Source organism: Homo sapiens, chromosome 19 (assembly GCF_000001405.40).
Source record: "Homo sapiens chromosome 19, GRCh38.p14 Primary Assembly".
Taxonomy (NCBI): domain Eukaryota; kingdom Metazoa; phylum Chordata; class Mammalia; order Primates; family Hominidae; genus Homo; species Homo sapiens.
In genome coordinates, this window is record NC_000019.10 from 19,903,190 (window position 1) to 19,927,215 (window position 24,026).

The following is a 24,026-nucleotide window of genomic DNA, read 5'->3' on the forward strand; positions in this document are numbered from 1 at the left end:
TTGCAAAAATGTAGGCAGAAAAGGGCTTTTCTCCCTAGGGAGGAGCAAACAAGATTAGAAAGGAGGTGGGAGGGGAATGGCAAATGGAGGGTGAAAAAGTCAGATTTTACATCAGAGAATGTCTTACCCTGAAATCAGCATGTTCTTAGGAGGGATGTAAAGTGGGGCTGTATGTTGACTCAGAGTGAGGGTAGCTCAAAGTTCAGGAGCCTGAGGAAGGGAGATAAACCTAAGTAAAGTTTGATTAGGAAATATTTTATTTTAGGCCTGGCCCGGTGGCTTATGCCTTTGGGAGGCCAGCACTGGGATTACCAGTGCTGGTAATCCCAGCACTTTGGGAGGCCAAGGCGGACAGGTCACGAGGTCAGGAGATCGAGACCATCCTGGCCAACGTGGTGAAACTCCATCGTTACTAAAAATACAAAAATTAACTCAGCATGTTGGCGCCCACCTGTATTCCCAGCTACTCAGGAGGCTGAGGCAGGAGAATCGCTAGAACCCGAGAAGCAGAGGTTGCAGTGAGCCAGATCAAGCCACAGCACTCCAGCTTGGCGACAGAGCAAGACTCTGAAAACAAACAAACAGAAAAAAATATTTCAGGCCAGGCGCGGTGGCTCACACCTGTAATCCGAGCACTGTGGGAGGCAGAGGCAGGCGGATCACCTGAGGTTAGGAGTTCAAGACCAGCCTGGCCAACGTGGTGGAACCCTGTGTGTACTACAAATACAAAAACTAGGCGGGCGCTTGTAATCCTAGAAACTTGGGAGGCTGAGGCAGGAGAATTGCTTGAACCCTGCAGGCAGAGGTTGCAGTGAACCGAGATTGCGCCGCTGCACTCCAGCCTGGGCAACAGAGCGAGATTCTGGCTGGAAAAAAAAAAAAAAAAAGAAATATTTTATTTTGACCACCGAAGACAAATACAGCTGATTTTTTTTTTTTTGAATGAGAAATAGGAGAAAATGTGCAGAGTGTGTGTCTGGCTGTGTGATAGGTAAGAAAAGAGAGCACTAAGTCATAAGGGAAAGAGTTTTTCTATAAACTGTTTCTGGAGCACACAAAGGACGGAGAATTGTATTAATCACAAATATTTTCCAGGATTATCTATGTGTTTCATCTTTCCCCATCTCTTTTCTTTGTTCTATGCATTTCTTCCTTTTGGCTTTTCCTGGGCTGCATCTTATATATGAAACCAGTAAACATAACTACAGTGTTTTGCTGAGTTCTGTGAGTAGCTCTACCAAATTGTTGAGTTTCGTGGAGGTGATAGGAGTCCCCAGTTTTTAAACAGCAGCTCAGAAGCATAGATGGGCCCATGGGGTTTGTGTCTGGCATCTGCAGTGAGGACAATGTTGTGGAACTGAGCCCTGAATCAGGGTCTGTGCTGTGTGTGGTGTCAGAATTCAAATGTTAGACAATGAGTTGGTGTTGGAGAATTGTTTGATGTTCAGCAAACTACAGATTTGGTGCCAGAAAAAGGATATCATGGAGCCCTAGCCTGGAATAAAACTCTGGGTGTTTGGGAATGGGAGTCTCTGCTCTCCTCTACACAGGCTGTCACGCTGCCCATTGTCCTGAAATTCCAGGTCTTCTCCCAGGGTGAGAGATGACTGAAAACTTAGAGAAAATGAGCTCTGATGACAGACTCCCTTTTCTCACAGCTGCCACCACAGGATTCCCACCCACTCACAAAAACACACACACTAGACATTGACATGTCCACACTTCTCCCAGAACTATGCACTACCCTCAGGAACCTCACCGTGGCATTTTTGATCTGTGTTTTTTTCAAAGAATTCACAAGTGTCTACAAGTCTCCTGGCATATCCCCACCCCCAGACACTGAATCTGCAGCAGCAACCTGTTTTCTCCACCAACCTAGGGTCTGGACCACCTGTTCATAATCTCACCTGCCTGCATTCGCACGGAAACAAATCAGGGTACAGCCCCACTTGGGCCACTATCTGTAGCAAAAATCAGTCCTTTCACCTACATTGTGCTCTCTCTCACTCAGGGATTTTTTTTTTTCTTTTAGCTTTTATTTTTGGTTTGAGGTACCCATGTGGGTTTGTTATACAGCTGAAATTATGTTATGGGGATTTGGTGTGCAGATTATTTTTTCACTGAGGTACTAAACATAGCACCAAACAGGTATATTTTCTGATCCTCTTACTCCTCCCACCCTCCACCCTCAACTAGGCCTCAGTGTCTGTTGTTTTTCTCTTTGTGTTTATGGGTTCTTATTATTTAGCTCTCCCTTGTAAATAACAACATGCATTTGGTTTTCTATTTCTGCATTAGTTTTCTAAGAATAATGGTCTCCAGCTTCATCAAAGTTATTGCAAAGAACATGATTTTTTTTTAAATGGCCACAGAGTATTCCATGATGTTTATGTTCCATATTTTGTTTTTGCTAAATCTTTTATTTTTGGTCTCACTTATGGCCCAGGCTAGAGTGCCATGGCATGCTATTGGCTTACTTTAGCCTCAGCCTCCCAGGCTCAAGGAATTCTCTCCTACCTCATCCTCCCAAGTAGCTGAAACTACACATATGCATTACCACACCTGGCCAATTTTTTTTTTTTCCGTGGAGACAGAATTTTGCCATGTTGCCAGGCTGGTCTCAAACTTCTGAGCTCAGGCAATCCACCAGCCTCAGCCTCCCAAAGTGCTGGGATTACAGGCATGAGCCACCGCATCTGACCATACTGTATTTTCTTTATTCATTCTACCATTGATAGGCATTTATGGCCTGTCCATGTCTTTGCTGTTGTGAGTAGTGCTGCAATGAACATGAATGTGGATGTGTCTTTATAATATAATAATTTATATTTCTTCGGCCTGACAGGGTATATACCCAATTATAAGGTTTCTGGGTCAAATGATAATTCTGTTACTAGTTCTGTGAGGAATCGCCACACTGCTTTTTACAGTTGTTGAACTAATTTACACTCCCACCAGCGGAGTATAAGCATCTCCTTTCTCCTTTCTCTGCACCTTGCCAGTATCTGTTACCTTTTGACTTTTTAAAAATAGCCATTCTGACTGGTGTGCGGTGGTATCTCATTGTGGTTTTTCTTTAATTTCTGTAATGATTAGTGATGAACTTTTTTTTCATATGCTTGTTAGTCACATGTATGCCTGCTTTTGAAAAGCATCTGTTCATGGTTATTTTTGCCTACTTTTTAATGAGGTTGTTTGGTTATTCTTGTAAAATTGTTTAAGTTCTTAATAAATTCTGGATATTAGACCTTTGTCAGAGACAAAGTTTGCAAATGTTTTCCTTTATTTGGTAGGTTGTCTGTTTACTCAGTTTCTTTTGCTGTGAAAACCTCTTTAGTTTAAATAGGTCCCATTTGTCAATTTTTGCTTTTGTTACAGTTGCTTTTCGTAGCTTCATCATGAAGTCTTTGCCGGTTTCTGTGTCTAGAATGGTATTTCCTAGTTATCTTTCAGGGTTTCTTATAATTTTAAGTTTTTCATTTAAGTGTTTAATTTGTCCTGAGTTGATTTTTGTATATGATGTAATGAAGGGGTCCAGTTTCAGTCTTCTATATAGTGCTAGGTAGTTATTTGAGCACCATTTATGAAATAAGTAATTCTTCCCACATTTCTCTTGTCAGCTTTGGCAAAAATCTGATGGTTGTAGGAGGGTGTCATTATTTCTGGGCTCTCTATTCTGTCGGTCTTGTGCACTCATGGATTTTTTTATAACATCTTTTTCTCTTCTGCTTTTTCCCCCATAAAGATTCTTTCAGGTGCATCTAGTGTGCAAAATTGAGGTGTCCAAGAGTTCAAAAATTCTTTAAAAAGTTCCCAAAAAAATTTTGCTATTCTCTCTTCTCTTTAGGGATTTAGATTATATATAGATGTTTTTTCTGCTTTTTAAAACATATATGTAAATCATACTAACAGCTAAATAAACTTTTTGTAATTTTTTCTGACCCCAGATTGTCTTTATCTAGTACTTCAGATTTATTGCTTTGTTTTGGCTTCTGAAAAGTTTATTTTTTCCATTTTTAGTCCTTCAAAGTAGACACAGATTTGTTTAGATAAAAGCTCATTTTAGGAGCACACAGAAGCTTAGCACAAAAATAGGATTAAATTTAGCAATACCGAATGATAAAGACTAAAAGATACTAAGTTCCATTGACAGAAACCTGATTATTCAAGTTAATTATCAAATATTTGCAGGCTGAAGTGCTTATACTGCAAAAGCAAAAACAGTTCAGTGTGTAAACTGAACAGTGGAGTCTGTAGTTGTGCCTTGCTTTCTATTTATTACTTCAGAACAATTAGCATAGTTATGTGTAGTATTTGCAGACAACCTGCATTCATATAAATTTAACAGCATTTTCTTTTCTTTTTTTTTTTTTTTGAGACAGAGTCTCACTCTGTTGCCCAGGCTGCAGTGCAGTGGCATGATCTCAGCTCACTGCAACTGCTGCCTCCTGGGTTCAAGTGATTCTCCTGCCTCAGCCTCCCGAGTAACTGGCATGCATCACCACACCTGGCTAAGCTTTTGTATTTTTAGCAGAGATGGAGTCTTACCACGTTCGCCAGCTTGATCTTGAACTCCTGACCTCAGGTGATTCACCCACCACAGCCTCCCAAAGTGCTGGAATTACAGGTGTGAGCCATAAACAGTATATTCTACAATAGTATGAATATAAAGCTGCAATACTTACTTTGAATGAATCACTTAAATGGTTATTTTAATATTGTTATTTATACTTTTGAAATATAAAGTGTTTGAAGTATAGTTGCAATTTTTTTAAATGCTACATACATTACTACTGGTACATTAAAATATTCATACTTATTTATATCTAATATCCAAAGAAAATTTACTACCAAAGTGTTACAGTTAGTCTGACATGTTTGTTACTTTATTCAATGGGGATCATTATGGGTAAACACAATTTTAGTATCTTTTGTTTCACTAAATTGGAACGCTGCTATTACAGGACAAATAAAGACAGGTGATGTGGCCACCAAAAACCATAATAGCTCTTCAGTTAACTATGTTACAAGGTCTAATATGTTCCACTGTATGAACACAGTCAGATTCTATTTCTTCATCAAAAAGTGTTGTTGGAAGTTGACAGATGATTTCCATATAGAACCCCCATTCAATGGCTAGAAAATGAGACTGCAGCAGAGATGGAAAAGAAACTTTATAAAATTTTTCTGAAAATCTGCCCTCTTTCTTCATAATGCTCATGTTTCTCATACTGAGAGTAGCTGTGCACTTTGGGTGTTTAGAAATAAATTGCTTTTAGGGGCGTATTTTCTGGCTGATGATCAATCTTATATCTAATCTGAGCTTTTTCTTGAGATCTTTTTACCTTTTTTCTTTCAAAATAATCTTGCTGGCCGGGCGCAGTGGCTCACGCCTCTAATCCCAGCACTTTGGGAGGCCGAGGTGGGCAGATCACCTGAGGTCAGGAGTTCGAGACCAGCCTGACCAACATGGAGAAACCCCTTCTTTACTAAAAATACAAAAATTAGCCAGGCATGGTGGCACATGCCTGTAATCCCAGCTACTCCAGAGGCTGAGGCAGGAGGATGGCTTGAACCCAGGAGGCGGAGGTTGCTGTGAGCCGAGATCGCACCATTGCACTCTAGCCTGGGCAACAAGAGTGAAACTCCGTCTCAAAAAAAAAAAAAAAAAAAAAAAAAATCTTGCTCAGATGGAGATTTGGTTTTCTCTCTAATGCTTTGGGTGTCTGTTTCAGAAATCCTATTAGTATCCCGTGGTGTCTGAATGAGGTGGGCTGTCACAGTGAGAACTTTTGAAGATATGTCTATCTGGACTCATGCTGAAAATTCAGAAGTATTTTTTCCATGTCATCATTATAAGTAGAAACTGAGGCTGAAACACTGCTCACATTCTGATTATTGTGAAGGTGAAATTCTATCCATGACGCCTGCAGGCTCTCCTCCTGCAGCTCAGACGTCACTCTCTGATGTGACACTAGAGTGCTGCTGTGGCAAATGGGGTTCACATAAAATGTAAGCTGTGCTCTGGGCTGTGCCTCAGTGGCAGATGGTAGCGGTAAAGAGAGGACACTAGCAACTAGGAGAAAGTAAACAGGAGTGCTGTAGCCCAGTGCCAGGGAGTACAGAGCCACTGCTCTAAAATGTAAATAGCCAAAAAGAACACTATTCAGCCATTTTTGTAGCAGAGTGAAAGCCTAGCTTCAGCAGACACCTGGCTTCAAGCTGCTAAACCAACTCCTGTTATGAAGATGTGAAAAGTTTATTTGTCATTGAATATAAGCAATTAGTATACACAGATGGCCTCTTCAGTATCCAGGTGAATTTAGGATGAACTATATATGACATGGTGCTGAAAATTCTTCTACTTGTGGACTAATTATGATGACCATCTTTCTGACTTTGCAGTCTCTTAAGCAGATTGATGATGATGTATGTCACATTCAAGTTTAATTGTGTAATAAGACCATTTTCTTTCTGTTCTATTATTGTGGAGTTTCTCTGAAAATAGAGAAAATTTTTCTTTTAATTATTGTTTCCACAGAGTGTCTAGAATTACCAGACATGATATAAACACATAAGGTGCCAACCAGAATTTACTGTAGAGGGGACTTTCCCTCTCAGACTTTGAGTCAGCCCATACTTGCGCAGCAAAATGCATGCTGTCCATTAAATATGCACGTGGAATTTTGTCTCTGCCTATTTGGTATTGATAGTTCCTCTACTGTCACTTCTAGAGAGGCTAGACCCAATTTCTACAAACTTCACAGGGCAGCAATTAATTAATCATTTAACCTTTTTCAGTGACTCTTGTATCTTCAGATTTGAAACTGATTCAGAAACTATGGAGCCCAGAAACCCAATCAGAGTAACATGTGTGTGCTGAGTAGACATAGAGACATGAGAATCTCCACTTTCCCCTTCCTCCTCTTGCTAAATGCTCACAAATGTACAGGTAAACACCTGTGGCTACTCCAGTCGTTCAGGCCCTAAACTTGAAGCTCCAAATTTTGAATCCAGGTCTTGAGATTTGGGGGAAAAAAAAACTTACCTAAGAAATGCAAGTCCCTTTGGTTATCAAACTCAGACATTAAAATGAAAGTACTGTTATGTCTTTCTCCCCCCTTTGAACTATGTATTCATCTCTTGAAACTGTTCACTATTGCCACAAGTAATTATAAATTAAACTAATAATGCCACATTAGACACTATATCCCATACCCTAAACCATAATAATATATATGTAATCAATAATCGATGTTATTTCTGTAAATAAATAAAAATTTCTGACAATCAACTTTGTATCAGCCCACTCTCTGTCCCTGTCTTGTTGTCTTTACAAATTGTCTTGTAACTGCTGGTAATCAAAATGCAGATTCCAGGCAACTTGAATCTTTGCTCCCAGGTTATAATCCTTAAGCTTGACCCAAGTAAACTATCTACTTATATTCATGTTCTTTCAGCTTTTTTTTTTTTTTTTCATGTAGACTTACCATTTAGAATGTGCTAGAGTAGTCTCTATGAGGGGATCTCTCCTTTGATTGTATTCCACTTGCTGTAACACCAAAGGATGCAGAGCCAGGTGGATCCTACCTGGAATCTGCAGATAAGGTCTGGCCTCTGCCTGGGATTTACAAGAAAGGACCAGAACTTGGATTGAGAATGTACAGAAAATGAACAAAAGTCATTTTCTGCATTGTGAATGTAAACATAGACATCTTACAGCCCCCATTTGGGAGTGTGGCTCTTTGAGATTTTCACATCTTGTTCATTGACCTGCTACAGTTATGTGAGGGGCTCCAGGAGAAATAGACTCAGATGGCAGAATCTGTAAGTGTAAATAAGCATCTTAGGAGTGAGAGATCGGGGCCACAAAGTATCCAGAGCCATGACCACAATTATATTTAGCTGTAAAATGTAATACTAGAGTAGAGTATTTTTGATCTTTCTCTTACCCAAGAGCTAGCAAATCAGAATGGGTGATCCAGGTTCTGGAGCTCCACCAGGGCAGTTCCATTTTCTATTCAGAGTTAGCCTGAGTCTCTCCAGCCTGGCTTATCATTGGGCCATGAGGCCTGGGTCACTGGGAATCTCTCACAATCACCCAGGTGTCTTTGAGGCATTTGAGGATGTCCAGAGCAGAATTTTGTCAGGCTGACAAGAGTGGTTAATTCTGCTTCTGTCTCAGTGTAAGAGAAATGAGTCATCCTGTGTTTGTTCATTCCCTCATACAAGAGATATCTTTGGTTGGTACCCCGATGACAGCTTCTCCAGTTTCCTGGTACTTGGATAATAAGGAGAAGATCTGGAGACCCAGATAGATAAACTAGCTCCTTCCACTTCATATGGGCATTAAAAAAATACATGAAGCAGTCATAGTTCCTACAATCCAGAAACTTTTAGTCTAGACTAGCTACTGGATAAGTAATTGAAGTGTGCATCATATGGTTGGTATAATAAATAGATGTGTTAAAAATCTTGGGCTTTAGACCACTTTCTTTATATTGTTGTGACTTCTGATGTCTACACCTGAAGGGAGATTTATGAACAAAATAATTGTTATAAATTCTTTTTTTTTTTTGAGATGGTGTTTCACTCTGTCACCTGGTCTGGCTTGCAGTGGCACGATCTCGGCTCACTGTAAACTCTGCCGCCCGGGTTCAGGTGACTTTCCCTTCTCAGCCTCCCGAGTAGCTGGGATTACAGTTGCCTGCCACTGCACCTAGCTAATTTTTGTATTTTTACTAGAGGCGGGGTTTCATCATCTGGATCAGGCTGGTCTTTAACTGCTTGACCTCGTTCTGCACCCGCCTTGGTCTCCCAAAGTCTTGAGATTACAAGCATGACCCACCGCGCTTGGCCGTATATTTTCTATTTCTTTTACCTTGCTAACTGTAGATATTTATTTTCTAATAAAATTACCCTAGAAAACCTTAAGGGATTTGTTTAAGTTGCATACTAGTATATAGTATAAAGTTGTCAGGGCAGTGACTAGAAAAGATAAAAACTACAGAAACTCTGGGATTTAAGTTTCTTTTAGGTAAGCTTAGAAACAAAACAAAACTGGAAGTTTCCTAGTTGCATAGAGAACAGAATTCTACATAGGGTTCTCACCCTGCCCCAGACGTGTTCAGATTCATCCTTTTTGGAGACCTTAGTTAGGTCTGAACCTACCCTGGAGTATTGCCTCACAGAACTCATTAAAGGAGATCAGAGTTTTGGCTGCTGAATCCTGCTGCCTTTCTAGAGCTGGTGCTCACAATTTCCTGAAATTCAAAAGCAGATAAATCGGGAAAAAAAGTATGTTTTGTAAGGTGTTTGTTTTTAAATTTTTTATTAAAACCAGTGCTTGCAGAGACATTGTATTTAGCAACTTGTTTTCTATTCCTGCAGATCCAGTAGTTGCTGCACAAGTCAAAAAAGTAAATATAAACAGAATGAAATTTTCTCTAGACTACATTAAACTCTTCTGTATCTCTTTCATCTGTCTATATTTAGCTTTTATTCTATACAATTTTTTAAAAAATTTGATGACAGAGAAACAGAAGAAAAAATAAAAATGGGCCCTTTATCTAAATCCTGAAAATTAAGAAACACTTAGTACCAGCTCCCCGGGTGTTAAGAGAATTAAATCATATAATGTGTTATGCCCAGCACCGTGCTCTGTATCATACTCTAGCACATAGTGCCTGCTTAATAAACATTGCATTAGTACCTGTGTACATGTTCTTTTTAAAATACAGACTTATTCAGATATTGCTGTCTTCTGTTTCCTCTGTAAATTTTAAAGAGCCAGCAAAAAATATAAAACTTTTAAATGGAATGGGCTGTCCTTATTTTTACTAGAAGTATTTGGTTATGGCAAGAGTGTTAAGTGTAAGGGACCCTGTGCTGTTCCTGCTTTCTCTAACTAATGCTCATAATGAGCCAGTGGGGAGCAACATCAGCATTGACAGGGGACTTGTTTAAAACACTCATTCATAAACCCTCTTCAAACATACAGAATCACATTACAGAATGTGCGGCCACAATTATCAAGTGATTTATAAGCTCGTTAAAGCTTGAGAGGCAATGCTTAGCTTAGTGGTTATCAGCCCAGGCTTCTCATTAGGATCACATGACCAATTTGCTGAAATCTCTTGTACCCTCCCCACAGCTTCTGTTTATTGTTGTGGGTGGAAGCATCCATGTTTTTTTAATGAAGTGCCTCATGTGACTCTAAGGTGATTCCAGAATCAAGTATAAGGGCTTTAAAATATATTCATGAGAGTTAAATTCCACCTGTGAACTAGAGGGTGGTCACAGGGCCTATTCTATTTGGGTTTGGTAGGGACAGGTAAGTGTGGTGCATATTTCCATTACTGTAGCAAAAGTTGCTGGTGTCTATGGCAGGGGAGGGCACCTGAGGACAGGAAAGGAGAAACTTATATTTTTATCTTCATGGAGCAGTTCATTGTTCCCGAATCTCTTCTGTTTTAAAGGACAGAAATGGGTGGCTTTTTCTGTCTTTTTCTGCCAGAAGATGTCATGCTAGCAGGTAAACATGTGGTACACCTTTAAAGGCATATTCTCCAGATGCAGGTGTAATTTGTACAGAGAATCTCATCTGAGAAGAAACTCCAGGGAAGGAGGAGAAAGAAAAAAAAATGGCTTTTCTTCAGGTAAACATGTGTCAGATGAAGAGCTGTGTCCACTCTGCCTCCTGGACTGCCATGCGTTTAGTACTCACAAACCTTTACTTCTCTACTTTTGTTTTTCCTCCGTGAGTTTGATTTAACTACTTCTTAAAATTCCTATGATGGTCAAGGATCTTTGAAAAATATTTCTTTTTTATATCCCACAGACTTCTCTACATTCTGTTTGTCATAGCTTCTTATATGCCATGCAGAATTATCAGCAAGAATTTATGATCCACATTATTAAAAATATTCCCTTTGTGGCTGTTGAACACAGAAAGATGTGGGTACTCAAGATTCCTATTGGGGAAAACTGTGGTCCTTAGTAAAGATGGTAAAGTAAAAGCCTCCACTCGTGTTCCATTAGCTATATGCAGAAGATAATTCAGAAAATGCTTATTTAAATGGGATAGAATTTATTACCCAGAATGTTCTGAAAAAAATTATTAGGAGATACTTGCTCTCTAGGGTGCTAAATGAAGCCTATTTAAAATTACTACTAAAAATTACAGAACATAGGAGTTAACTGTATTTTGGAGTTTGCATAAAACTGATGTTTCTTTATGGTTAAATTCAGATTATAATTTACGTTATTTGGGAGGAATATTTCAACAGTGATACTGTGTTCTGTGTGCATTAACACATCAGAAAAATTTGTCCTAGTGCAGTTAATGGTTAATGATTCACTTGGTGAAGTAGCTCTCTCTCACAGATTTTTTCACTATAGTTAATTATTTTTCTCTTCATTATTAAGCATCCTTATCCAGCGGATTTGCATAAACCATCACATTTAATCTGTCAGTTGTCCTTTTTTCTTTTTTTTTCTATATAGTTTTCTATGGAAGATGAAGGCTGTTATCTTTGTTTACAGGCCACAAAAACTTGGAAAAACACAGGCTCTTCCACTTACTGGATGTTTGACAAAATATCCTTCTCGGGCCAAAAACATTGACATTTTTGGTGAGCTTGTTAGAAATTCAAAAAATCAGACTTCATTCCAGATCTTCTGGGAAAAAACCCCCGCATAACAAGGTCTTCAGCTTATTGTACATATTAAAATTTGAGAGGTGACTTCTAACTCAACATGTCTTTTCCATATGAAACATATTCACATCTCATTCTGTATGATGTAAATATAGCACTCAAAAATGTACATGTTCATGTTCATGCCCTTAATTTTATACTTTATTATCTAGAAAAATATCATATATGAACTGATGTTGTGGATCTAATGCTGCCCTTTTTTTCTCAGATAATACATTAGAGAATATTTCTGTGTTGAAGATTATTTTATTGGATAATTTTAGTCAGTCCTATAAGTCAGAACCACTTCTCTTTACTCTCTCATTTCACCTTAAGTAAAATTAAAAATTCCACCCATGGCCACTTGGTGAAAATGTGTGTGTGTGTTTTTCAGGGACCATTGCAATTTAGAGATGTGGCCATAGAATTCTCTCTGGAGGAGTGGCATTGCCTGGACACTGCACAGCGGAATCTATATAGGAATGTGATGTTAGAGAACTACAGTAACCTGGTCTTCCTTGGTGAGGATAACTTTAATACATAATTCATAATACACCCTAAAGGTTTTATTTCTCTTTTTTGTAGAATGTTTTTTAGTAATTTATTCTTTGCATAAAGGAGTTTCAGATCCATTTTTTCCAGAAAATCTTCAGAATTTGTTCATTTAGAAAAGAATTTCTTCAGTGCCTCTTGCCTGTATAGTTCTGACTTTGGGAGGCTAGGGCGGAGGAGATTGCCTGAGGCGAGGAGTTCGAGACCAGCCTGGCCAACATGGTCAAACCCCATCTCTACTAAAAATACAAAAAATTAGCCAGGCGTTGTGGCATGCGGCTGTAATCCCAGCTACTTGGGAGGGTGAGGCAGGAGAATTGCTTGAACCCAGGACACGGAGGTTGCAATGAGCCGAGATCGTGCCGTTGCACTCCAGCCTGGATGACAGAGCAAGATTACTTCTCGAGAAAAAAACAAAAATTTCTTCAAGATGTTTCATCTTAATCCAATCTTTCCACATTCCTGAGTTGAGCTGTATTCTTCACTCTAAATTAGTGGTAATTACAGAAATTTACTGACGTAAAATATTGTAGCCCCCACCTGAAAATCTAAATGCCACCACCAATTTTTGATTCAGTGGTACCAGGTAGTAAAATTAAGAAACCTACAAATTGGAAGTATTTTCTTTTTCCTTTTTTTTTTTTTTTGAGACGGAGTCTTGCTCTGTCACCCAGGCTGGAGTGCAGTGGAATGATCTTGGCTTACTGCAACCTCCGACTCCCAGGTTCAAGCAATTCTCCTGACTCAATCTCCCGAGTAGCTGGGACTACAGGCATGCATTACCATGCTCTGCTAATGTTTGTATTTTTAGTAGAGATGGGGTTTCACCATGTTGGCCAGTCTGGTCTCCAACTCCTGACTTCGTGATCCGCCCGCCTTGGCCTCCCCCTGATCTCATGATCCACCTGCTTTGGCCTCCCAAATTGCTGGGATCACAGGCGTGAGCCACTGCACCCGGCAAATTGAAAGTATTGTTTAAATATCTATAAATTTCTGTTATAAATTTGTATTTTGGTATTAATTTACTAGAATATTTTATCACATCGTCTTTGCTGAGCACATTACTAGCTTGTAATTGGAGAATATGAGCAAGATTCATGTTATTTATTCTTAACAAAACAGGTATTGTTGTCTCTAAGCCAGACCTGATCGCCCATCTGGAGCAAGGAAAAAAACCTTTGACTATGAAGAGACATGAGATGGTAGCCAACCCCTCAGGTAGGTGTGAGTGAAAATGAATACAACAGACAACACAGTAAGAGGTCCCAAGGCCAAAGAGAAAGCCAGTCCTTAAAATGTGATTCGGGAAGCTGTGTTCCAAAGGAAATAGTTCCTGGGCAGCTGTTTTTTGTTTTTGTTTCTGTTTTTTAATTTTGTTCTCACAAAGGGACATCTTCCGTTTTATGCTTTTAAATTCTCTAAGGATTCTACTTTTGTTTTGGTGAGCTTCCTTCAAGTTCTCAGTGAGAGCCACAGTCCTCTTGATGGCATATAAGAGATTATACAATCTGGCTGCTTTTCCATTCTTTTGGGGACACAAAAATATTTGCATGATTTTGAAAAACTAAAACTACTTTTTAGTTCTATTTTTGCATCAGGTCTAAAATGTGTGAGAGTAGTTTCTGTTGCATTTTTTTGTTCATTTTTCTTTATAGTCCATTCTATTTTTATTACTACATAGTTTTTAAGTATAGTTTGCAATTATACATATGATATGCTTCTGCTTTGTTCTTTTTCCTCAAGATTGCTTTGGCTATTCACACTTTTATTGTAGTTTCATGTAAATTTTAGAATTGTATTTTCCATTACTGTGAAAAAAATACCACTGCAATTTTGATAGGAAGTTTATTGAATCTGTAGATTACTTTGGATAATATGACACTTTAATAATACTTATTCTTCAAGTTATAGACATAAAATATTTTAAAATTTATTTGGATCTTCTAATTTTTTTATTGTAAAGATTTTTTATCTCTTAGTTAATTTTTTTCCCAGTAGTTTTTTTTAATGCTACATTAAATAAGATTTTTCTTCCTCTATTTTGTCAAATAGTTTCTTTTAAGTGCATGAAACCATTCATATACTTGTGTGTTAATTTTCTGTTTTGGTAATTTACTATTTACTGAGTGTATTTATTAGTTTAGACAGCTTTTTAAATTTTTTTTATTTTTTGACAGTTTCGCTCTTGTTGCCCAGGTTGGAGTGCAGTGGCACGATCTCAGCTCACCACCACCACACCTGGCTAATTTTGTATTTTTAGTAGAGATGGGGTTTCACCATGTTGGTCAGAGTGGTCTCAAACTCCCAACCTCAGGTGATCCACCCGCCTTGGCCTTTCAATGTGCTGGGATTACAGGCATGAGCCACCACGCCTAGCTAGACAGTTTTTAATATACTGTTTATGGTTTTTAAAATATGAGATTGTATGATCTACAAACAGCAACTTTTTACTTATTTTTCTTCAATTTCAGTGACTTTCTTTCCTTCCTTCCTTCCTTCCTTCTTTCTTTTTTTTTCTTTTTTTTAATTATACTTTAAGTCCTAGTGTAGATGTGCACATCGTGCAGGTTTGTTACACATGTATACATGTGCCATGTTGGTGTGCTGCACCCATTAAGTCGTCATTTACATTAGGTGTATCTCCTAATGCTATCCCTCCCCCGTCCCCCCACCCCACAACAGGCCCCAGTGTGTGATGTTCTCCTTCCTGTGTCCAAGTGTTCTCATTGTTCAATTCCCACCTATGAATGAGAACATGCGGTGTTTGGTTTTTTGTCCTTGCGATAGTTTGCTGAGAATGATGGTTTCCAGCTTCATCCATGTCCCTGCAAAGGACATGAACTCATCATTTTTTTATGGTTGCATAGTATTCCATGGTGTATATGTGCCACATTTTCTTAATCCAGTCTATCATTGTTGTACATTTGGGTTGGTTCCAAGTCTCTGCTATTGTGAATAGTGCTGCAATAAACATACGTGTGCATGTGTCTTTATAGCAGCATGATTTATAATCCTTTGGGTATATACCCAACAATGGGATGGCTGGGTCCAATGGTATTTCTAGTTCTAGATCCCTGAGGAATCGCCACACTGACTTCCACAATGGTTGAACTAGTTTACAGTCCCACCAACAGTGTAAAAGTGTTCCTATTTCTCCACATCCTCTCCAGCACCTGTTGTTTCCTGACTTTTTAATGATCGCCATTCTAACTGGAGTGAGATGGTATCTCATTGTGGTTTTGATTTGCATTTCTCTGATGGCCAGTGATGATGAGCATTTTTTCATGTGTCTTTTGGCTGTATAAATGTCTTCTTTTGAGAAGTGTCTATTAATATCCTTCGCCCACTTTTCGATGGGGTTGTTTGTTTTTTTCTTGTAAATTTGTTTGAGTTCTTTGTAGATTCTGGATATTAGCCCTTTGTCAGATGAGTAGATTGCAAAAATTTTCTCCCATTCTGTAGGTTGCCTGTTCACTCTGATGGTAGTTTTTTTTTTGCTGTGCAGAAGCTCTTTAGTTTAATTAGATCCCATTTGTCAATTTTGGCTTTTGTTGCCATTGCTTTTGTTGTTTTAGACGTGAAGTCCTTGCCTGCCTATGTCCTGAATGGTATTGCCTAGGTTTTCTTCTAGGGTTTTTATGGTTTTAGGTCTAACATTTAAGTCTTTAATCCATCTTGAATTAATTTTTGTATAAGGTGTAAGGAAGGGATCCAGTTCCAGCTTTCTACATGTGGCTAGCCAGTTTTCCCAACACCATTTGTTAAATAGGGAATCCTTTCCCCATTTCTTGTTTTTGTCAGGTTTGTCAAAGATCAGATAGTTGTAGATGTGTGGCATTATTTCTGAGGGCTCTGTTCTGTTCCATTGGTCTATATCTCTGTTTTGGTACCAGTACCATGCTGTTTTGGTTACTGTAGCCTTGTAGTATAGTTTGAAGTCAGGTAGCATGATGCCTCCAGCTTTGTTCTTTTGGCTTAGGATTGACTTGGTAATGTGGGCTCTTTTTTGGTTCCATATGAACTTTAAAGTAGTTTTTTCCAATTCTGTGAAGAAAGTCATTGGTAGCTTGATGGGGATGGCATTGAATCTATAAATTACCTTGGGCAGTATGGCCATTTTCATGATATTGATTCTTCCTACCCATGAGCATGGAATGTTCTTCCATGTGTTTGTATCCTCTTTTATTTTGTTGAGCAGTGGTTTGTAGTTCTCCTTGAAAAGATCCTTCACATCCCTTTTAAGTTGGATTCCTAGGTATTTTATTCTCTTTGAAGCAATTGTGAATGGGAGTTCACTCATGATTTGGCTCTGTGTTTGTCTGTTATTGGTGTATAAGAATGCTTGTGATTTTTTCACATTGATTTTGTATCCTGAGACTTTGCTGAAGTTGCTTATCAGCTTGAGATTTTGGGCTGAGACGATGGGGTTTTCTAGATATACAATCATGTCATCTGCAAACAGTGACAATTTGACTTCCTCTTTTCCTAATTGAATACCCTTTATTTCCTTCTCCTGCCTGATTGCCCTGGCTGGAACTTCCAACACTATGTTGAGTAGGATTGGTAAGAGAGGGCATCCCTGTCTTGTGCCAGTTTTCAAAGGGAATGCTTCCAGTTTTTGCCCATTCAGTATGATATTGGCTGTGGGTTTGTCATAAATAGCTCTTATTATTTTGAGATACATCCCATCAATACCTAATTTATTGAGAGTTTTTAGCATGAAGGGCTGTTGAATTTTGTCAAAGGCCTTTTCTGCAGCTATTGAGATAATCATGTGGTTTTTGTTGTTGGTTCTGTTTATATGCTGGATTATGTTTATTGATTTGTGTATGTTGAACCAGCCTGGCATCCCAGGGATGAAGCCCACTTGATCATGGTGGATAAGCTTTTTGATGTGTTGCTGGATTCGGTTTGCCAGCTTATTGAGGATTTTTGCATCGATGTTCATCAGGGATGTTGGTCTAAAATTCTCTTTTTTTGTTGTGTCTCTGCCAGGCTTTGGTATCAGGATGATGCTGGCCTCATAAAATGAGTTAGGGAGGATTCCCTCTTTTTCTATTGATTGGGATAGTTCCAGAAGGAATGGTACCGGCTCCTCCTTGTACCTCTGGTAGAATTCAGCTGTGAATCCATCTGGTCCTGGACTTTTTTTGGTTGGCAAGCTATTATTGCCTCAATTTCAGAGCCTGTTATTGGTCTATTCAGAGATTCAAGTTCTTCCTGGTTTAGTCTTGGGAGGGTGTATGTGTTGAGGAATTTATCCATTTCTTCTAGATTTTCTAGTTTATTTGCGTAGAGGTGTTTATGGTATTCTCTGATGGTAGTTTGTATTTCTGTGGGATGGGTGGTGATATCCCCTTTATCATTTTTTATTGCATCTATTTGATTCTTCTCTCTTTTCTTCATTAGTCTTGCTAGCGGTCTATCAATTTGGTTGATCTTTGCAAAAAACTAGCTCCTGGATTCATTGATTTTTTGAAGAGTTTTTTGTGTCTCTATCTCCTTCAGTTCTGCTCTGATCTTAGTTATTTCTTGCCTTCTGCTAGCTTTTGAATGTGTTTGCTCTTGCTTCTCTAGTTCTTTTAATTGTGATGTTAGGGTGTCAATTTTAGATCTTTCCTGCTTTCTCTTGTGGGCATTTAGTGCTATAAATTTCCCTCTACACACTGCTTTAAATGTGTCCCAGAGATTCTGGTATGTTTTGTCTTTGTTCTCATTGGTTTCAAAGAACATGTTTATTTCTGCCTTCATTTCCTTATGTACCCAGTAGTCATTCTGGAGCAGGTTGTTCAGTTTCCATGTAGTTGAGCGGTTTTGAGTGAGTTTCTTAATCCTGAGTTCTAGTTTGATTGCACTGTGGTCTGAGAGGCAGTTTGTTATAATTTCTGTTCTTTTACATTTGCTGAGGAGTGCTTTACTTCCAACTATGTGGTCAATTTTGGAATAAGTGCAGTGTGGTGCTGAGAAGAATGTATATTCTGTTGATTTGGGGTGGAGAGTTCTGTGGATGTCTGTTAGGTCTGCTTGGTGCAGAGCTGAGTTCAATTCCTGGATATCCTTGTTAACTTTTTGTCTCATTGATCTGTCTAATGTTGATAATGGGGTGTTAAAGTCTCCCATTATTACTGTGTGGGAGTCTTAAGTCTCTTTGTAGGTCTCTAAGGACTTGCTTTATGAATCTGGGTGCTCCTGTATTGGGTGCATATATATTTAGGATAGTTAGCTCTTCTTGTTGAATTGATCCCTTTACCATTATGTAATGGCCTTCTTTGTCTCTTTTGATCTTTGTTGGTTTAAAGTCTGTTTTATCAGAGACTAGGATTGCAACCCCTGCCTTTTTTTGTTTTCCATTTGCTTGGTAGATCTTCCTCCATCCCTTTATTTTGAGCCTATGTGTGTCTCTGCATGTGAGATGGGTTTCCTGAATATAGCACACTGATGGGTCTTGACTCTTTATCCAATTTGCCAGTCTTTGTCTTTTAATTGGAGCATTTAGCCCATTGACATTTAAGGTTAATATTGTTATATGTGAGTTTGATCCTGTCATTATGATGTTAGCTAGTTATTTTGCTCATTCGTTGATGCAGTTTCTTCTTAGCCTCGATGGTCTTTACTATTTGGCATGTTTTTGCAGTGGCTGGTACCAGTTGTTCCTTTCCATGTTTAGTGCTTCCTTCAGGAGCTCTTGTAGAGCAGGCCTGGTGGTGACAAAATCTCTCAGCATTTGCTTGTCTGTAAAGGATTTTATTTCTCCTTCACTGATGAAGCTTAGTTTGGCTGGGTATGAAATTCTGGGTTAAAAATTCTTTTCTTTAAGAATGTTGAATATTGGCCCCCACTCTCTTCTGGCTTGTAGAGTTTCTGCCGAGAGGTCAGCTGTTAGTCTGATGGGCTTCCCTTTGTGGGTAACCTGACCTTTCTCTCTGGCTGCCCTTTTTTCCTTCATTTCAACTTTGGTGAATCTGACAATTATGTGTCTTGGAGTTGCTCTTCTTGAGGAGTATCTTTGTGGCATTCTCTGTATTTCCTGAATTTGAATGTTGGGCTGCCTTGCTAGATTGGGGAAGTTCTCCTGGATAATATCCTGCAGAGTGTTTTCCAGCTTGGTTCCATTCTCCCCATCACTTTCAGGTACACTAATCAGATGTAGATTTGGTCTTTTCACATAGTCTCATATTTCTTGGAGGCTTTGTTCATTTCTTTTTATTCTTTTTTCTCTAAACTTCCCTTCTCGCTTCATTTCATTCATTTGATCATCCATCACTGACACCCTTTCTTCCAGTTGATCAAATCAGCTACTGATGCTTATGCATTTGTCACATAGTTCTCGTGCCATGGTTTTCAGCTCCATCAGGTCCTTTAAGGACTTCTCTGCATTGGTTCCTTTAGTTAGCCATTCGTCTAATCTTTTTTCAAGGTTTTTAACTTCTTTGCCATGGGTTTGAACTTCCTCCTTTAGCTTGGAGAAGTTTGATCGTCTGAAGCCTTCTCTTAACTCATCAAAGTCATTCTCCATTCAGCTTTGTTCCATTGCTGGTGAGGAGCTGTGTTCCTTTGGAGGGGGAGAGGCACTCTGATTTTTATAATTTTCAGTTTTTCTGCTCTGTTTTTCCCCATCTTTGTGGTTTTATCTACCTTTGGTCTTTGATGATGGTGACATACAGATGGGGTTTTGGTGTGGATGTCCTTTCTGTTTGTTAGTTTTCCTTCTAACAGTCAGGACCCTCAGCTGCAGGTCCGTTGGAGTTTGCTGGAGGTCCACTCCAGACCCTGTTTGCCTGGGTATCAGCAGCGGAGGCTGCAGAACAGCGAATATTGGTGAACAGCAAATGTTGCTGCTCCAGAGATCATTCCTCTGGAAGTTTCATCTCAGAGGGGTACCCGGCCGTGTGAGGTGTCAATCTGCTCCTACTTGGGGGTGCCTTCCAGTTAGGCTACTCAGGGGTCAGGGACCCACTTGAATAGGCAGTCTGTCTGTTCTCAGATCTCAAGCTCCATGCTGGGAGAACCACTACTGTCTTCCAAGCTGTCAGAGGTTTCTCCTGCAATTTTGTTTGGCTATGCCCTGCCCCCAGAGGTGGAGTCTACAGAGGCAGGCAGGCCTCCTTGAGCTGTGGTGGGCTCCACGCAGTTCGAGCTTCCTGGATGCTTTGTTTACCTACTCAAGCCTCAGCAATGGCAGGCGCCCCTCCCCCAGCCTCGCTGGTGCCTTAAAGTTTGATCTCAGACTGCTGTGCTAGCAATGAGCGAGGCTCCATGGGTGTAGGACCCTCTGAGCCAGGCATGGGATATAATCTCCTGGTTTGCCATTTGCTAAGACTGTCAGAAAAGTGCAGTATTAGGGTGGGAGTGACCCAATTTTCCAGGTGCTGTCTGTCACCCCTTTCCTTGGCTAGGAAAGAGAATTCCCTGATCCCTTGCACTTCCCAGGTGAGGTGATGCCTCGCCCTGCTTCGGCTCACACTTGGTGTGCTGCACCCATTGTCCTGCACCCCTTGTCCGACAATTCCCAGTGAGATGAACCCGGTACCTCAGTTGGAGATGCAGAAATCATCCGTCTTCTGTGTTGCTCACACTGGGAGCTGTAGACTGCAGCTGTTCCTATTTGGCCATCTTGGAACTGTCCCCTTCCTTCCTTCCTTCCTTCTTTCTTCTTTCTTTTGTTTTTTGGTGGGATTTCAGTCTTGTTGCCCAGGCTGGAGTGCAATGGCATGATTTCGGCTCACTGCAACCTTTGCTTCCTGGGTTCAAGCAATTGTCCTGCCTCAGCCTCCAGAGTAGCTTGGATTACAGGTGTTTGCCACAATGCCTGGCTAATTTTTTGTAATTTTTTAGTAGAGATGAGGTTTCACCATGTTGGTAAGGCTGGTCGGAAACTCCTGACCTTAGATGATCCGCCCGTCTCTGCCTCCCAAAGTGCTGGGATTACAGCCGTGAGCCACCGCACCCAGCCGGATTTTTTTTAGTTCTGTGAATAATTTTCTGTCACATACTTCTAGTGCTACATTCAAATAGATGTATTGCCAATGGACACAATATAGTTTTGTATTGGTGTCTGAATATGATGGAGCAAACACCTCTTCAAGTTTTCATAAACCGATTTTTGAAGCATTTCCTCAGGTAACTGTGTGGGTTTCTTTTTTTCTTTCTTTTTTTTTTTCTCTTTTTTTGAGGTGGGGTTTCATTCCTGTTGCCCAGGCTGAAGTGCAATGGTGCAATCTAGGCTCACTGCAACCTCCACCTCCTGGGTTCAAGAGATTCTCCTGCCTCAGCCTCCCAAGTAGCTGGAATTACAGGCATGTGCCACCACACCCGGGTGATTTTGTATTTTTAGTAGAGAGGGGGTTTCTCCATATTGGTCAGGCTGGTCTCCCAACTCCTGACCTCAGGTGATCCACCTGCCTCAGCCTCCCAAAGTGCTGGAATTACAGGCATGAGGCACCCCGCCTGGCCCAACTGTGTGGATTTCTATGTAGACAGAACTGACCATAAACTGTGGTTCAGGCAACTGAAATTGAATCATTGATTTGCTTCAGGGAACGCAGTAAAAGCGAAGGTCTGTAGGCCTGCCTACATGGCTGTACATGGATGCCTTTATTCAGGTCTCTGGAATGGCATGACCTCTCCCAGACTGTGGCTGGGATGAGTTTGGGATGGTTACAGAGTAAGTTCAGAATTCTCAGTGAGACCAAGTTGGCTGAACTCTATCCTGGGCTGTAGCCAAGAACAGGGGTCCTGTAGTTTCCCACCTGAATGAAGGCCTCCCTTCTGAATAGAACACGTCCAATCTTCAGCTTTAACAGCATTTCACAACTCCCTCCCCGGATCTCAAATTTCTGTTAGAGGCACTTATTTTGGAGATGTCATCTTGCTACATAATCCAGGCTGGTCTCAAAATCCTGACCTGAAGCAGTTCTCAAACCTTAATGTACCGTGGAGCTGTCATTACAGTTGTGAACCATAATGCCTGGTTTTCTCATAAAGGCATGTTTGTCAAGGATGGTTGAGATCTTTTTTGCTGTAAGGGGATATGAAAATAGGGCACTTTTAATCTTTTCATCTTACTGATGTCACTCTCCCTGTAGATTTTTACTTTCTATTTTCTACTTCAAATTTGTCTGTAATTTGAGATTCAGATATTTAGGACAATATGCTAGAATTTGCATGGTATGCCTCAAGTAAATTAGATAATTAGTAGGCACTCCATATTTACGAAAATAGTTACTTGTAAATTTCAGTTTGCTGCAGGCAAAAAGGAATTAAAGGATTTTCATCTACTTACTTTAACCTATATCTAAATAATAATATACTTTATTTTCTAATATTTGTTTTACATATCAGAGGGTCTAACCCTATTCTGCAAAATATGTATTTTCTTTATTTAAAAATGTAAGACTACTCTTTGCTTCTAAAATTGGATTACAGCAGTTTCATTTTGTGTAAGAATAGCATATATTTAAAACAAAAGTAACTCTAGGTTCTTTTAAATGCTAATTTATTAAGTTTCTTATTAGAATCTTCTATTTATAATTATACGGCATATTCTCTGAAATTTTACTGCCATACAGTGCATACCAATGATTCAAAATACCTGCACTTCATGAGTACAAACTAAAAGCTAAATATTGCAGTTACCTAGAATTTTTTTTTTTTTTTTTTTTAGATGGAGTCAATCTCTGTCATCCAGGCTAGCGTGCAGTGGTGCGGTCTTGGCTCACTGCAACCTCCACCTCCAGGTTCAAGCCATTCTCGTGCCTCAGTCTCCCAAGTAGATGGGATTACAGGCATGTGTCCCCACACCCAGCTAAATTTTGTATTATTAGTAGAGACGGGGCTTCACTACATTGGCCAGGCAGGTCTTGAACTCCTGACCTCAGGTGATCCACTCGCCTTGGCCTCCCAAAATGCTGAGATAACAGACATGAGCCACTGCACCCAGCCTGACAATTATTTTTTTTGTGATACATCAATGTTGCATACTAGATTTTATGAGGAAACATTTCTATTATTGTTTCAAAGTTCCATATTAGTGTGTTTTCTCAGTGTAGGGTTTTTTTTTTTTCCGAGACAGAGTCTCACTCTGTCGCACAGGCTGGAGCGCAGTGGCGTGATCTTGCCTCACTGCAACCTCTGCCTCCGGGGTTCAAGGGATTGTGGTTCGTGCCTCAGCCTCCCAAAGTGCTAAGATTACAGGTGTGAGCCACTGCACCCAGCCTCATTGTAGGTTTCTTAACATTAGTTTCTTGTGTTTTTTGATTTTACTTAAGTATTATAATTTTAGACAATTTGTAATTCTGTTGGTACACTTTAAGTCAATTTGAGGTTTAATTAAGAAATAAATTATGCATGTCTATCAATCAGATTATATATGTATATGTGTATATCTATAAATATGACTCCAATTTTAGTTATGGCTTATATTCTTTCTTAGCTGATTTTCGATGGTAGTTTTATCTTGTCTAAGTGAGAGTCATGGAGATAGTCTTATTTTCACCATGTGTTTAATGATTAATGTATATTTCTTTTTGTGAAAGAAACACTTTTGTGATTTGAAGGTAATTTTCAAAAAGATTTATAATTCTGTATTTTTTTCAGTTTTTCTTTAAAAACATTGTTTTAAAAACACATAACATAAAATTTACCATCTTAAATTTATTGAAGTTTATATTTCAGGGCCAGGTGTGGTTGTGGTGCTCATGTGTAATCCCAGGATTTTGGGAGGTCAAGCCAAGAGGATCCCTGGAGCCCAAAAGTTTGAGAACAGCCTGGGCAACATAT

General features: G+C 39.5%; 1 protein-coding gene and 1 pseudogene across 2 annotated transcripts in view; one reads left to right on the forward strand and one right to left on the reverse strand.

Annotated features, from left to right (window-relative positions):
- The window catches only part of ZNF93 (zinc finger protein 93), a 34,630-nt gene that overhangs the window by 2,244 nt on the left and 8,360 nt on the right, over nucleotides 1-24,026 (forward strand). The window contains exons 1-3 of one of the 2 annotated variants that reach the window (XM_047439495.1): nucleotides 5,760-11,633; nucleotides 12,091-12,217; nucleotides 13,371-13,466. In XM_047439495.1, the coding sequence (XP_047295451.1) occupies nucleotides 12,184-12,217; nucleotides 13,371-13,466 (130 nt within the window). In that variant the 5' untranslated portion in view covers nucleotides 5,760-11,633; nucleotides 12,091-12,183. Of the gene's footprint in view, nucleotides 1-5,759; nucleotides 11,634-12,090; nucleotides 12,218-13,370; nucleotides 13,467-24,026 lie in introns of those variants that run through there. The other variant, NM_031218.4, reaches the window with a different exon arrangement.
- BNIP3P47 (BNIP3 pseudogene 47) lies at nucleotides 5,079-5,957 on the reverse strand (annotated as a pseudogene).